Source organism: Homo sapiens, chromosome 2 (assembly GCF_000001405.40).
Source record: "Homo sapiens chromosome 2, GRCh38.p14 Primary Assembly".
NCBI classification, from domain to species: Eukaryota; Metazoa; Chordata; class Mammalia; order Primates; family Hominidae; genus Homo; species Homo sapiens.
The window spans coordinates 62,429,053-62,445,742 of NC_000002.12; the positions used below are offsets into that span (position 1 = coordinate 62,429,053).

A 16,690-nucleotide genomic window follows, 5' to 3' on the forward strand; every position below is an offset into this window, starting at 1 on the left:
TTATAATCATGCAGATTACCTGGTCTTTTTCCTGGAAATGCAGATTCAGGGATTGTATGGCCTAGGAATCTGTGTATTTGACAAATGCCCAGGTGGTTCTTATTTTCTGGTAAGTCTGGAAAACTCTCCTCTCTGGGAAAACATCTTTAGGCCCATGAAAATTAAAGATTAAGTACAGTATAGAAATTAGAAAGTATTTCAAATACATTGGATAGTATTAATTCTTTTTTTTTTTTTTTTTTTGAGATGGAGTCTTGCTCTGTCACCCAGTCTGGAGTGCAGTGGTGCGATCTCGGCTCACTGCAACCTCTACCTCCCGGGTTCAAGCAATTCTTCTGCCTCAGCCTCCCGAGTAGCTGGGACTACAGGCATGTGTTACCATGCCCAGCTAATTTTTGTATTTTTAGTAGAGGCGGGGTTTTGGCATATTGGCCAGGCTGGTCTCGAACTCCTGACTTCGTGATCTGCCCACTTTGGCCTCCCAAAGTGCTGAGATTACAGGTGTGAGCCACCGCGCCTGGCCAGTATTAATTCTTTTGTTTTAGGAATACTCTACACATAGTTGGCATTTTAAGTACTTATGATGTTTAAGAGAATTTGGTCTATGAGAGGAACAGCTGAGGCTTATAATTTGAATTTTTTTTTTTTTTTGGAAATAGGGTCTTGCTCTGCCACTCAGGCTGGAGTGCAGCCCCCCAGGTTCAAACAATTCTCCTACCTCAGCCTCCTGGGTAGGTACAGGCATGCATCACTACACCTGGTTAATCTTTTTGTGTTTTTTGTAGAAATGGGGTTTCTCCATGTTGCCCAGGCTGGTTTCAAATTCTGGGACTCAAATGATCTGCCTACCTCGGCCTCCCAAAGTGCTGGGATTACAGGCGTGAGCCACTGTGCCAGGCCTATAATTTGAATTTAAAAGTGTAACTGAAGAAGTTAGACTTGTGATTTTAAGTTGAAAGTTTAATAAATTTCTATGTTGGAAGACTTAGAATAATTTAAGTATTGCTATATTTATCAGTTTATTATATTTAGATTTTCAAAAAGTTATTAAGATTTTGTTTAAGTCAGATAATTGAGGTATTTAAAAAGAAATTGCATATATTAAATTTATAAAAGTAGTTTAAAATGTTTGAATGTATATACATAAGCTTATAAATAGGACCAAATATTAACCAACAACATTCTAAAGATGTTTGCTATAATTTGCTACAGTTATAAATGGGGGGAAAATCTTTCAAAGAACTTAAAATCTAAAGGAAGGTTTTTTACAGATGAATGGATAAACAAAATGTGGTATAGCCATACAGTGGAATATTATGCATCCTTAAAAAGGAAGAAAATTCTGTCACATGCTTCAACATGGATGAACCTGCAGGACACTCTGCTAAGTGAAATAAGCCAGTCATGAAATAACAAATACAATATGATTTTACCTATGTAAGGTTAGATTAGTCAAATTCATAAAGACAGAAGCAGGATGGTGGTGCCAGGGGCTGGGGCAGGGGAAGGAGAATGGGGAGTTAGTGTTTAACGTGTACCGAGTTTCAGTTTTGCAGATGAAAAGAATTCTGTGGATGGATGTTAGCAGTGGTAGAACAACATGAATATACTTAATGTCACTGAACAATGTGCCACTTAAAAATGGTTAAGATGGTAAAAATATATATATATATATATATCGAGGGAGAGAGAGAGACAGAGAAATGACACCTGAAAGTGCTCAATCCTTAGAACTTTAAAAGCTCTACTTACTGAAAATGTTGCCCAGTAAAGTATAATTATAATTATTGGTGATACAGTCAACAAATGTATGCCTAGTTAATTCTTTATAGTAAATTATTACTGTTGGAAAAAAAGCTAAAGGAAGATTTTTTAAATTGATCATGCCAAAAACTTATATATTTTTTTTTAAAAACCAAAGTTATCTTTAATCTTTTCCATGCAGAAAAACCACCTACAAGGACTCCTCAAACTCACAATAAACATAGACTGTTCTCATAGGTAAGTGAGGGTTCTAGGGCTCTAACCAAGGAAGTGGAATGATGGATGGAGAGGAGAGGGGCTTATGTGGCAGGTGTCACCCAAGTAGAATGGTACCACTGATGAAGCTATGGAAGAAGGATCAGATGGCATCTGGGGAAGGGGACACCACATGTTCAGGTAGAAACTGAGCATTCAGTAGCCAGCCTGATCCCAAGGCAGGGCACTCAGAGACACCGGGTAGAGGTAAGGATTTGAGGGCATCGGGAATGGGTGGTGGTGGAAGTCCTGTGTGCTGCAGAGAGGACCCGAGAGAAGTGTGGAGGGACCTTGGCCAAGGACATAACTCTGAGAAGTGCCAACACTTTCGGAGTGGCGGGGCCTGAGATGGCAAGATTCACTTAAATGGTCTAATTTCAGGACCCAGAATTCCTCTGCATCCCTCCTCCACCCCATATCTCTTCCAGGGCTTTGCCATGCCTGGAGTTCTTCAACCCAGGAAAAGTGGCTACAAGACCTTGATGTTCCACTCAGAGGACCAGGGATTATGGTGGGAGAGATGACATAAGGACTGAAATCACACAAAGGTGCAAATGACTAATGCCAGTAGGTTTCTGGAAGCAGGTTCCGTAGACTTGAGGGTGCACTCCGAGGAAAGCTGAGTGATGAGGAAGCACCAGGAAGGAAGTGCTCAGAAAAGGGGAGGCCGGTGGCTGGAGTGACTCCTGGTCTAGCAGTTCTTCATGTCCATCTTGTTTTCATGCCAAGGGAATTTCAGCCTTACCTTTGCCCAGGTTTGGGTGGCAATGATAGGGACAGGAGAAGGGAAATTCTGGGCAGAAGTGGGTGGGTCTCCAGCAAGGGCCTCACCCTCAAGCCTAAAACTATGGCCCAAAGTGAGAACATTCCTGTTTTCCTGCTTGACTGTTGCCTTTTCCAAAACCACCCATGGCCCGCCCCACTCCTAACCTGTGCCCAAGAAAGCCCCAGGCTCCACTAGCAGAGAGAGAAGAGAAGAAGCAGTTGGATGTCAGAGACTATGGTTGAATGTCGGAGAGAAGGGGCTTGACTTCAGAGGGACAGCTTGATGGCATAGCTTTGGAGAGGAGTCTGGCCAGGGATGGCCAGACTCCGGGGGAAGATTACCTACCCACTCCCTCCCCTTCTCAGCTCCCCTTCTCACTGAGAGCCACTTTCATCAGCAATAAAATCCCCTGCATTTATCATCTCCAATTTGTTTGTGTGACCTCATTCCTCCTAGACCTCAGATAAGAATTTGAGTGTGGGTGCAAAGGGCTGTCACACTGACCCTCCACTGAGCTGTTAACACTTAAGCCATCTGCAGATGGCAAAGCTAAAAGAGCATTGACTGAAACACTCCTTCTGGGGCTTTAGGGGTTGTGGGCACCCCCCTAGACACTGCTGCAGGGCCAGTACAGAGTTTGTTCCGGCTGTCACCCAAAAGCGCTCTCTCTGGCTCCTGCACCCGCTCACCTGCATGCTCCATCCCTGGAGGGGTTGAGTGTGGTGGATTCCAGTGAGTGGGGTTTGCCCCAGCTAGCACTGAAGTAGCTAGTTCAAACACCCACACTCCAGTTCCCACCCACAAGGGGTCAGGGAAATTTCCTGCTTCAGCAAGATCCCCTGAGAAATAAGTGAGGAGGAATCTCTTTCAGTCTCTGGTAAGGGCTGGTGGGGTGGAGGTGGGGGGTGAGTGGGAAGAAGCCACTCCATCAGCTTTGTCTTGGCCTTTGGTGTTTTTTGATCTTTAATTCCCCCAGTATTGGTTCCATCCCAGCTGTGGTTGGGCATCCCTGCTTCACTGGTTAATGAAGAACAGGTGCATCATTAGTTAATTACATCCTCAGGCCTCAGAGCTGCCCAAAAGGAGGAGGCAGTGGAAGCTTTGTACCACCTCAGACCACTGCTGCTGGAAGAGGGAAGGGAGCTGTGGTCAGAATGGGGCCCCTGCTCTCCACGAGGCTTTTCTTCCTCCTGGTCTCCTTCTCTTGCCTGATGGCTGGAATGGAAGCTCCCTGAGGGCCAGGCCCAGGCCCACCTCCATGACTAGCTTGCAGGCCTAGCCCCAAGCCTGGCTTGGCTCTCGGGCCCTGAGCCAAAGAGGTGAGTAATCAGGGGCTGCCCAGGCTCCATGCAGAGAGTGCCTGGCCTGCCACCCCGTTGCTCTTGGGGAGCCCTGGGTTGAGGGGACCTTCCAGGAGTGGGTGATGCATGGCTGTGCACCTCAGGCCCCCAAATTGCATATCAGCATATTATTCGAGCCCCTTTGGATGCCCTCGGGCAAGGGGGAGATGTAGAGGGGTAGCTCCTGGGGCCATTTGCTAGATAAATTAGACAGGCGGTAGTTGAGAAAAGGCCTCTGTGCACAACAGGCACCTCCTATTCCTAGAAGGAAGCATGTTTTTTGCCAGACATCAGGTGGACATTGGGATATCGGGCCCTGGGGTAGTGATGAGTGAAGTTCTTGACAACTCCCCCAAGGTGAGCTTTAGCTACCTGCTGCCCACTGTGCCCTTAATCACATTTAATTCTCAAGAGAGCCTGCCCAGGGGGAAGAACAGCTTCCTCTTCTACAAATGTGGCCTCCCATATTTTCTACCAACCAATCAATGCTTTTGGAACCCCTGCATGGGGGCAACCACAGGAGATAGAGACCCATAAAGCTTAGCTCCTGACCTCGGGAAATCCGTCATCTTGGGGGATGCCAGGCAAACGCCTCAGGCCCAGAAACCCAGTGACCCAGGCAGAGGAGCTCTTGAAGAGGTGGATGACACTGTAGGGACACAGACAAGTCAGGTACTCATGTTTGTAAAACGGGTAAAAAATCTACATTATTATCAACATTTTGGGACTTTGGCCTTTGAGGAAATGAGTGAGGAGGGGGTCATCAAATTGTGACACCTCTAAGACCAGGACTACTAATTCTATTCTGGCGTCTTCTTCTTCTTTTTTTTTTTTGGAAATGGAGTCTTGCTCTGTTGCCCAGGCTGGAGTACAGTGGTGCAATCTCGGCTCACTGCAAGCTCCGCCTCCTGGGTTCATTCAAGCAATTCTGCCTCAGCCTCTCGAGTAGCTGCGACTACAGGTGCCTGCCACCACGCTCGGCTAATTTTTTGTATTTTAGTAGAGATGGGGTTTCACCGTGTTGCCCAGGCTGGTCTCGAACTACTGAGCTCAGGCAATCCACCTGCCTTAGCCTCCCAAAGTGCTGGGATTATAGGCGTGAGCCACTGTGCCCAACCATCTGGTGTCATCTTCTATGTTTACTCCAAAACTCTGGAAAATCGAGAGGAAATAGAAGTCAGAGTGCTGCAGGCACTGAAGCTGATTGCTCTGTCCTGAGAGGGGCTCTTGCCAGCCTCCCACAATGTTGCCTCCATCCAGACAATGAGACCAGGGTTATGGCTGAGAGGCACCGCCTTTGGCCTTTGTAGGAACTCAAAACTGACAACACTATTAAGTGGAGAGATGTAACCTTGAGGTTGGGCCTATGGAGAAGGCTTTGCTCTGGCATTTGATTCTGTTTAAGTGTTTCTTGTCCCTGTATGAGGTTATGTCTCAGAGCTGAGTGATATGCAACAGCCAAGAACCAGGATCATCCTAAGGGCCAGAATGAATGATCCACTAAGGTGGACAACACTGCCAAGTCTACACTGGCATTTCTGAGGGCCTGTTGGAAAAAAAACAAAGCAGCTTTTCTCAATTTTGGCTGAACATGAGAATTAACTGAAGATCTTTTAAAATTGTGAGGCCTGAGTCCCACCCCTAGAGAGTCTGACTTAATTGGTTTTGAGTGGAACCCGGCCGTCTGGATGTTTACAAGCTTCCCAACCAGTTCCAATATGCAGCCGGTGCTGAATACCACCACAGTAACACCTGCGTGGGCACCTGGAGTCTCCATGTGGGGCTGAACCCTGTCTGTGCAGGATTCTAGAGCAGGCTGTGCTTTTGACATCTGTTGTATTGGCCAGAGGAGAAGGGACGAAGGAGAAGTCTCCTCCTGGTGTGTTTCTGAGTGGTGTATTTCTGTCAGGCCTGGATTTAGATGCTTTGGAGGTGAAGAATGAATTGAATGAATTTTCTACTATTGTTTCCTCCTGTATCCACCTGTATCTGGTGTGTGTGTGTGTGTGTGTGTGTGTGTGTGTGTGTGTGAGAGAGAGAGAGAGAGAGAGAAAGAAAGAGAGAAAGTCTTGCTCTGTCACTCAGGCTGGAGCATGGTGGTGCAATCACAGCTCACTGCAGCCTTGCCCTCCCAGTCTCAAGTGATCTTCCCACCTCAGCCTCCTGAGTAGCTGGGACCACAGGTGCATGTCACCACACCCAAATGATGTTTAAATTTTTTTGTGGAGATGGAGTCTATGTTGCCCTAGCTGGTCTCAAACTCCTGGGCTCAAGTGATCCTTCTTCCTTGGCCTCCCAAAGTGTTGGGATTACAGGCATCATGGACTAGCGAAGGCAGGGAATGCTCCATAAGGGAAGAAATACTTGATTTTTGGAAGAATTTAGGTAAGAAGGTTTTTCCCTGAAGGTTAGTGACATGAGGATAACAACAGTAAAGATCAGCTATTAGATCCATGTGATACTTGAAGGCCAACATGCCCATACTCTTTCTGAGTCTACTCCCTGGGTTTCTGTCGATGGAAAGGTGATTATATAGTCCAAACTTCTATAACAAATGGCTCTCCAAGTGAGGTCCTCAGACCAATAACGCCCCATCCCTGGGAACTTGTTAGACATGCATAGGCCCCACCTAGACCTAAGGAATCAGAAATTCTGAGCCCAGCAGTTTCTATTTTTGACAAGTCCTCTCTGTGGTTCTGATGCTCACTCAAGTATGAGAACCACTGTCCTGCTTTGCATCCACGTCTGCTAAGTAGACTCTAGTTATTAGGAACAAGAGACATGTTTGTTCTCAGTTACATTTAACTTATATTGGGTTGAAACCTCTCCCTCTAACTACCCCCACTGGTCCTGTGGCCTTATTACTGGACTTATGATTATTTACGTCCATCCAAGTGACACAGTGTCAAATAGCTGACAGGCTCTTATGTGTTCAGCCAACATTTACTGAGTAGCTCTCATTTGCTAGGTACTATACTAAGCCCTGGGAATGTAGCAATGAACAAAATCAAAGTATGTTCTTCCATGCAGCGTATGTTCTAGTGGGGGAGATGGTCCATTGATAGAACTACCATATTTTTATGTTTAGGTGATAGGAAGAAAAACATAAGGTTGGGAGGCTACTTTTGATAGTGGTTAGAGGAGGCTTCTTTGAGGTGATGTTTGAGTAGAAAGCTGGTTGAAATGAGAAAGCCAAATGAAGAGAGCGTATCCTGGGAAGTGGGAACAGTAGTGTCACATCCTAAGGTAGGAATGAGCTTCACGTATTCTTAAGAACAGAAAGGAAGTTAGTATAGCCAGAAGGGAACGAGCAAGGAGGAGAGATGCAGGAAGTAAGGTCCAGGAGGCAGTGGCCAGATCAAGAGAAGCCTTAGAGGTCCTGCATAGGTGTGTAGGGGAAGATAATTGTTTTTTCTACCCTTTTAGGTTCTCCAGCTGGTGTCCTGTAAATGAGACTGGCCAGAGAGACATTAACAGAAGAAAAATAGTTTCCTAACATGTGCATCACACATGCACATATAAGAGCACTCAGTGATAAGTAACCCAAAGGGGTAGTTAGAACTTGGGTTTAAATACCTGTCAACTCAAGAATCATGAGGTCCATACATTTGGAAAAGAGAGCTTTATTTCTTATAAAGGGTTGCAGCCTGCAGGCTGGCCACCCTCAGGCTGGGGCGTACTTCAAAGGAGGAAAGGTGAAATGAGAATTTATGCTGAAGGGTTAGCTAAGTATACATATTCAACAGGTTATCGGAGGAGCTGTGAATATTCAGAAGGGGGATGTATACATACATACTAAGCAAACATGCATGTTACATACATCCCATGTTCACTCTGGGGGTGGAGACTGAACACTTAAATGCATTAGAATCAGGCTCTCTATCAAAGAGTGAAACAGAGGTCACAGAGGCATCCTGTGCACAGCCTCTGTAAACCAGCCACCACCAGTTCCTGGCTGGTGGCCCCCTATCAGGAGGGAATACTGGCTAGTATTTGTATCAAACTGCAAAAGGGGAGAGGAGTCCTGCTAAAATCAGTGGTGGAGCAAGTCTTTTGATAGGGATGGCTTTGGTCAAGGTTGGTAGCCCATGCCTGTAATCCCAGCACTTTGGGAGGCTAAGGGAGGAGGATCACTTGAGGCCAGCAGTTCAAGACCAGTCTGGGCAACATTGTGAGACCTTGTCTCTACTTAAAAAAGAGCTAGTTTCTGTTTAGCCCTTAGGAAACTAGGCCTAATGGCAATTAGGGAGGGAAGAGTATAATGGGGTCTGTCTGACCTCCCATCTGGTCATGGTGGGGAACTCAGGTTTTAAGTTTCCTCTGGGGTATGCTTGGCAAAGAGGGGGTCCATCCAGTCAGTTGGGAGCCTTAAGATTTTAGTTTTATTTCTCTTAACGACAACAACAACAACAACAACAACAACAGGGTTTTAGGCTCTTAGAGAAGGCAGGTTATGGGAAGACGATCCTGAAAAGTACCGTAAGCAAGGGTTGTGTATCAAGGTTTGTTACACAGATTGATGCCTTCTCCATCGAGAAGAGTTAAGAATCCTTCCTTTCCTGGAGGGGGAAACACCTCTACGATGGGAAATTTCCTTTATAAATATAAATTTTCTTTACGATATAAAAACTTGTTTTTAGAGCTTTTTCTGAATCTGCTCGTTCTCAATGACGTTTAGCTGAAAATAATTTATACGCCAATGGTGCACATTTTGGGGTGGCATATTCTGGTACCCCTCAGGTGTCAGTATGGTTTTATGTCACTTTATGACAGGAATATGTTCTGAGAAATGCATCACGTGATTTCTTTCTTGTGTGCATATCATAGACCTACATAAACCTAGATGGTACAGACTACTAGGCACCTCAGCTGTATGGTACAGCCTCTTGTTCCTAGGCTACAAACTTGTATAGCATGTTACTGTACTGAATGCTGTAGGCAACTGTAACACATTGTTCAGTACTTATGTATCAAAGCATACCTAAACATAGAAGAGGTACAGTAAAAATATAGTATAAAAAATTAAAATGGTACACTTGTATAGTGCACTTACCATGAATGAATCTTGTAGGACTAGAAGTTGTTCTGGGTGAGGCAGTGAGTGGTGAGTGAATTTGAAGCCCTAGGACATTACTGTACACTACTGTAGGCTTTATAAACACTGTACACTTAGGCTACACTACATTCAAAATTTTGTTTTCTTCAATTACTAACTTTAGCTTACTAAAACTTTTTTACTTTATAAATTTTTTAGTTTTCTTTTTGATTTTTTGTAATAATACTTAGTTTAAAACAAGTACATACAGCTGTACCAAAATAGCTTGTTTTTTAGAGACAGGTCTTGCTTTGTCACTCAGGCTAGAGTGCAGTGGTGCAATCTAGTCTCACTGCAGCCTTGACATCCTGGGCTCAGGTGATCCTCATGCCTCAGCCTCCTGAGTAGGACAACGGGTGTGTGCCACTATGCCTATTTTTTTTTTTTTCTTTTTGGTAGAGATGGGGCCCAAGCAATCCTCTTGCCTTGGCCTCATAAAGTGTTGGGATGACAGGCATAAGCCCCCACACCCAGCCAATGTTTTCCTTATATTCTTCTATAAGCCTTTTTCTATTAATTTTTGTTTTTTTTTTACTTTGTAAACTTTTTTTGTTGGAAATGTGGACACAAACATATTTGTCTAGGCCTACACGAGGCTAGTTCATCAAGACTTCACTAGGTGATGGGAATCTTTTAGCTCCATTATAATTTTATGGGACTACCATTGTGTATGCGGTTCATCGTTGACCAAGATGTCATTATGACATGCAAGAGTGTATTTCATTTTGAATGATGGGCCAGCTACTAAAAGGTATTGATATGAGCACGGTGGTATCTATCTTTGAACAAAAATCACTTTATATAATGGACCATTCCATGAGTATAAGCAGGGAGATGAGTTAGGGAGATGCCAAGTGTGAGACATGGCAGTATGGAGGTAAGGGTGAAAACTAGTTGGATTCTAGATACTTTGGAGGAGGAGTCAACAGGACATGCTCATGGATTAGTCTGGGGTGGAGAAGAGTTAAGCAACTGACTGGAGCCTTTTTTTTTGTAGTCTAAAGTCTTCCCCAAAGCCCCACGTCAATAGAGAGGATAGGAACAACATGGAGGGATTCACAGGATTCACTCTCCTCTGAGTGCCTCCACTGGCCATCATAGGCTGGCTTGTGTACTTCTCCACAAACATGATTTTGTCCATAACTGGACCATGTCCTCAAGGGCCATATCTTAGGCTTTTCTGAATCTTCCACCCCTACCCACTCCCAATAGAATAAAAACAGTTGTGAGAACATAGGAAAGCATGCTATGGACTAAACCTGGGCTAAAACCCTTTCAGGTAGTGATGACAGCCTTAGAGATGAGGAAACAGACTCGGGGAGTAAAGGTACTTTCCTGATAGTAGCGACCATTTGAGACAACTTCCTGCCTGCCCAACATTGTGCTGGGAATTTGGGCGGCAAATGGCTGATCTGGGTGTTACACCAGCAGCTTCTCAATTTATGTTGCTGCTGAGCAAATGATGCCTCATTGTGATCTGTCTGCTGAAGGAGTTCAGAAAATGCCACCCCAAAATATGCTTTGGTGTGCTGATTGCTTTGAACTGAGGGCATTTTGAGAGACAGTGGATGAAGGCAGAGGCTAGCTTTGAGCTCACCTTATCTGCCTAAAGACAATCCTCCAAAAGGAACTCAACTGTCAAGACTTCCCCAGGAACCTCGTCAACCAAGACCAACTCATAACACAGGAGAGGAGACTGAGGTTTGACTCCGTGCCCAGACAGACTTCGTCATAGGCTGTCACCTTTTCTTCTGAGGGCCCACTCATCTTTCCCAGCATCAAATGAAGAATCACGAGGTTCGTACATTTGGAAAGGAGGGTACCACGACCTGCAGGCAGGACGTGGAGCTACTAGCTGAAACTGAAAAGCAAGTGCTCTGAGGGAAAGAAGGATGAGATGGGAATTTATGCTGAAGGGCTAAATACACATATTCAACAGGTTATGGGAGGAGCTATAAATATTAATGAAGGGGAGTGAGTGCATGTGTAGTAGGCTAACATGTATGTAACGTGCATTCCATGTTCGCTTTGGGGTAAAGACTTAACATTCAGTTAGACTCTACAACAAAAAGTGAAGTAAAGGACAGGAAGGCCCTCAGTGCACAGCCTCTGTAGACTGACCAGAATCACTTCATGATTGGTGGTCTCTATTAGGAAAGAATGCTGGTCTGTTGCTGTGTCAAAACAGCAAAAGGGAGGGACGGCATTAGGTGATTGGTTGAAATTGGTGAAGCAAGTCTGTCGAAAGCTGGTTTCTGTTTAACCCTTAGGGAAGAAGGCCTAATGGGGGTTGGGTGAAGGAAGGGGTAGATGACAAGACCTATCTAACCTCCCAGCCCATCATGGCCTGGAACTCAGGTTTGTTTTTTGGTTCCCTTGGCGAGAGGGGGTCTATTCACACCAAAACTCATTTACAGTTCCCTAAGTTGCTTACATCACCCTCCAGCCTCCCCTATGAAGAGAGTAAATATGCTTCTAGATCTCACCAGGTTTTGGGGGATATACACTTTTCTTTTATGTGATGTCCCCATGCATGTAATAAATTCGTATTCTCATTTTTACTGTGAATCTGTCTACTGCCAGTTTGTTTCATAGACTCAGCCATCAAAGCCTCAGAGGACAGAGGGAAAGCTCTCCTTCCCCATACTATTCTCAGCAGGTGCCAGAGCTACCTTTTCAATGGCTTCCATGAAGATGACTTCCCTCTGTGAGTGACTTCAGGTGGTTGGACACTAAAATATGCCACCACAAAAATATGACTGAAAAGTTACAATTTTAAGAGAAAGTTATATTAATAAAGGAAGTCTCTGCCTGTAAGAGTGTCTCCCTCTCTGTCCCAGGAGGAGAAGGATGGCTAAATCACCAGACACTTAATGGAGGAGGCATGACTTAAACCTGCAGAACAACCTTACCTTTGTCTAAGGTGCTTTTCCTGGTCTTCTGGTCTTAACAGGGTCTTTCCCCATACACTTCTTTCTTCATTTCAGAGAACTGATGGTATTTAAACCTCAAGTTTAAACTTTTTCTTTGAAATCTCATTTCTCTGGGTTATCTCCCATATATACAGGAGATATACACATTATCAAACTTCTTTTTGTGTTTTTGCTTGTTAACCTGTCTTTGTTACAGGGAGTCCTGGTTAAGAATTATGAAGGGTAGAAAGGATTATTTTTCTTCCCCTACAAGGTCCTACCCCATTCCCCCTACTCTTTTGAGGGAGCCGGTCCTAGATGTCAGCTGAAGGGAATACCATATCCTATGAATCACTTGTTATGTCTTTTTGCTCTTATTCTTTAAGCCTCTTTCTTCATACCTTCCCCTCAACAACTTGAACGTGCTTGTTTTCTGGCCCAGGCATAGGAAATGTATGCAAAGGGCAAAACAGAAGCTTTGCTGTTGACAGCACTCATATAAACAGATTTTCTTCCCAGTGCCTCCACCTAGTTCTTTCCTTCCTACAGGACTCAGACTCTCTTGGACAGAAATCTTCGTCCCCGTGAAATGCTGCCATGTCCCGAGAGACAAGGTGGGTGAGTTCTCTAACCTGATGATGTGAAGTTGGTTTCCTCTGAACATCTGGTACAAGGGGACCATCTGGGCCGGCCCCCAAAGCCACGTTGTTATTTATGCCCGTGGACTTAGGGCCACAGGAATCAATGATTATGAGGCAAACCCTGACAAGATCATGTTTCAGGGTGTCTCCCCTGTGATAGAAAGAACATGACCCCATGTTCTTTCCATGCCTGTTGGAACAAGAGAGTACACGTTTCTGCCACCCAGGCTCTGGCTGTGCATGTGGTCTTGCTAGCTGAGAACTATGCTTGACACCGGAGATAAAGCACTGCAGGGGAAGTATCGTGTCTTCTGGGATCCTAGAGCAGATTCAAGGGAAAAGATCATGAAGTCCTGTATTACAAAGTCTCCAGTTCCATTTCAAAGAACCTCCTCCAAACCTGTTAAAAGCATCACTGGTCCAAAAACTGAAATGGAGAAGAGACTTGGGATCTCAGGAACTTCGGTGCCCCACGTGGTTCAGCCAATCTCTCATGTTATTCAGCAAGCACGCACAGAGAGCATCCTGGCCACCAAGTTGCCAGAGACAAGTGAGAAGAATCTTTTGAAAATAGCCTCTTCTTCAACCTCTGTAGAAACATCAGTCTTTGATACAAGGTGGTCAGAAAACTCAGAAAAGAGTACTTTTGCCTGGGCCTCAGCAGAGAGGTCCCTTCCAGCATTGCAAGTTCCATAACAAGTTCCATGGTGACCACCAAACTGGCAGCTTGGTCCTCACTTGTAGGATGGAGAAGGCAGGAGAACACTTCAGAAGATGGGCCAGCCTCTGTGGACTCACCAGGCGTGATGGCAGGTACCTATAATTCTAATTCTAATTCAATTAACCACTCAGATTTGGGCTTATGGGAAAGAATGACATCTTGGGAAAGGGAGCTGCTTTCTCTCAGCCCCTCTCAGGAAGTGGAATGCTTCCCAGAAGGTAAAAGCAGCTTCCTGTACAGGCGAGCATCTTGCCTGGTGACACGCCATGTTTCCTATGGGGAGAGCCTGGGGCAGGCTTGGCCACTGAGGCCTGATTGTCTCTGGAAGGCAGGCCAGATCCTACTTCTGTTACCACACAGCCTTCTCCTATCTCCAGTTCTGCTCTTCCTGTGTTCCCAGCTGAGTGCTTTCTGACTGACTTGGCTTTGGTGAATTCCTACAGACATCCCAAATTCTACCATCAAGGGGCTTGCTTGCTCAAGAGCCAAGCTCATCTGCAGTGAGGCAAGAGTCACCTTGGCAGATGCATCTCTGGGTGGCAAAGTGTTAATACCTCTTGCTCTCTCCCATGGCCTTTGAGTGGCTACCTCTGAGGTGAAGTCATATCTTCTCCCTTGGATGGCCTTATCCTCAGCCTTCCCTGAGCCAGGACAGACAGCTAGCCTGCCCCGTGGTGTGATCTCAGAGGGTGTCTCCTCAAAGCACCATAGGAATTTTACAAGAAGAGACTCAATACACACTTCTTGGAGTCCAAAGGGGCTGGCCACAGAATTGCTGGAGAACCTGGCCAGGGTGATGCTGACAATGGCCCCTCAACAAGCTCCTGTAGCCACAACTGCCCCCCAATATGTTTCCCAACCTACACTGGTGTTCCCACCCTCTGCCTACCACAGAGAACCCGGAACACTAGAGGGGGGACCATGGGAATGTCTACAATAGCTTCGTGGTTGCTGTCAGGTTCACAGTTGCTTTCGGATGTCCTATCTGAGACTAGAGGGGAGGTAGATCCCTCCCTCAGCTCTTTAAGTCCAGCCATGCCCCAGGGCTTGTTCAGTCAAGGAGAGAGAGAGGCTGCTGGCAGCTTTTCTGCTGAACTCCTTGGGAGCTGCGATCCAAGCTTTCTGCAGACTGACATGGAGTGCCTTCTGCAGAGCTCAGTGGCTTCTCTGGCTCACTCCCAAAGCCAGGGTGAAACGGAGCTGGCATCTAGAAGTCTAGTGAGTACCTCCTGCCCTGGGCCCAAGGAAGCTGTTCCTAGTGGGACAATAGCTGGTCCTCACTACTTGAGGTCAAGTGGGAAACTGTTCCCAGCTACTTCATACAGCAGAGGCAGCACAGAAGGAGCAGCCTCCTTGAAGGAGGAAGATTGGGTGATGCACTGCATCCCTTTGCTCCTGGGCTAGTTCCTGGGTTCTGGCTTTCTCACACTCCGGCACCCTCCCCTGGATGTGAAGCTCCTTCAGGGCCAAAGACATGTGCGACCGCATGTGGCTGCTGCATTGGTCTTGGAGCTGTAAACTGGCTGGGCAGTGACCTCCTCTGGAGAGTCCCTTGAAGAGCATACTGACGTGGCCATTCACCCTCCAAAGGGGTTGCTCTAAAGGAAGCTAAGATCTGGAAATCCACCCACTCCCTGGAACAGGTATGGAGAGACTTCACCTGGGATCTGCCAGGTTCCCTTCCTAGCTTTCCAGAGAACCCCCACTGGCAAAAGGACCCAGGGTGTGGGGGCTCCTGCTATTCCACCCACCCGTCCCCTGGGAAGAGAGTGAATCCTCTCTGGAGACTGTGACACCCCAGAACTACACTGGTGGGTACTGCTTTTTTTCTTATCTGTAAAGAAAGCTTAGTATTTTATTTGTCCACATTCTTCTCTATATTTCAAACCATCCTTCTCTAAATGAACTTTAGAAGTTTCATTACAGTTTCTTGAAGGCAGACTCTGATTTTATTTATCTAGTATCTTTCACCCTCTTTCATGATAATTTGTTTCGTTTTGTTTTTTTGAGACAGTCTCACTCTGTCACGCAGGCTGGAGTGCAGTGGCACCATTTCGGCTTACTGCAACCTCCACCTCCCGGGTTCAAGCAATTCTCCTGCCTCAGCTTCCTGAGTAACTAGAATTACAGGTACCTGCCATCATGCTGGCTAATTTTTGTATTTTTAGTAGAGACAGGGTTTTGCCATGTTGACCAGGCTGATCTTGAACTCCTGACCTCAGGTGATCCAACTGCCTTGGCCTCCTAAAGTGTTGGGATTACAGGCATGAACCACCGCACCTAGCCTCATTATAACTGTATTGGGTACATGATTCTAAGTTGAAAACTTTTTCTCTCAACATCTGCCAGAAATTATTCCACTGTCTCTTGTTTCTATTTTGGCTATGGAATCTAACTGACATTTCTTCAAGGTGATCAATCCTGTCTCTGACTTTATTTTAAGATCTTTTTGTCTTTAAAGTTTTGCAATTTCATTATGTCTGTGTCAATTCCTTTTTTATTTTAAATTTTGCTTGAGCATACTAAGTTCTAGGTATTTGTTGGATAGCAAACTGCCCCAAAACTTAGTGGCTTAAAGAAATAACCATTTTATTACCTCTTTTGTGGTTCAGAAATTTAAGCAAGTATCAGCTGGGCAATTCTTCCACCCCACACGAGATTGGCCGCAGTATCTTTGTGGTGTTTCGCTGAAATCTGGGCTGGTCTGGAAGGTCCAAAATAGCTTTGCTCACATGCGTTTACAACATGAACATCAGTGGGGACAGCTGGGAGGCTGGACTCAGACGTGTCCCTCTTCCTTTTTCAAAGTCTTGAGATTTATCTATTCAGATTTCTTACAAGGCCTCTGGCTTTGTAAGAAACAAGAGACAAAGATGGAAACTAAGGCTGGTTCTGACTTAGCTTTGGGAGTCTTAAAGCGTGACTTTTAGGTCCCATTTATTAAGCAAGTTGCTGAGGCCATCCCAGATACAAGGGGAGAAGGATTAGACACTACCCCACAAGGGGTGGTGTAGGGAAATTTTTATGGCCATCTTTAATTACTACATTGTACATCCTGGACCTGTGAATTCATGTTGTTCATCAGTTCTGGAAAACTTGTAGCCATCAGATGTTGCTCTTTCTTCCATTTTTTCTGCTTTTTCTCTCTGGGACTTCAGTTAGATATCTAAGACTTTCTGATTTGAGCCTTCAAATC

General features: G+C 45.4%; 1 long non-coding RNA gene across 1 annotated transcript in view, besides 1 other annotated feature; it reads left to right on the top strand.

Moving 5' to 3' along the window:
- Positions 1–16,690, top strand: part of LOC105374764 (uncharacterized) — a 48,875-nt gene that overhangs the window by 13,860 nt on the left and 18,325 nt on the right. The window contains exons 2-3 of the long non-coding RNA XR_002959390.2: positions 1,946–2,001; positions 12,682–13,586. This is a non-coding gene — a long non-coding RNA (uncharacterized LOC105374764). The remainder of the gene's footprint in view (positions 1–1,945; positions 2,002–12,681; positions 13,587–16,690) is intronic.
- Positions 11,674–11,723: an enhancer, noted in NCBI's record as "active region_15866". NCBI's record gives its function as "activates an Ori minimal core promoter by ATAC-STARR-seq in GM12878 lymphoblastoid cells {active_cell/tissue: GM12878}" and the evidence as "EXISTENCE:reporter gene assay evidence [ECO:0000049][PMID:35858748]".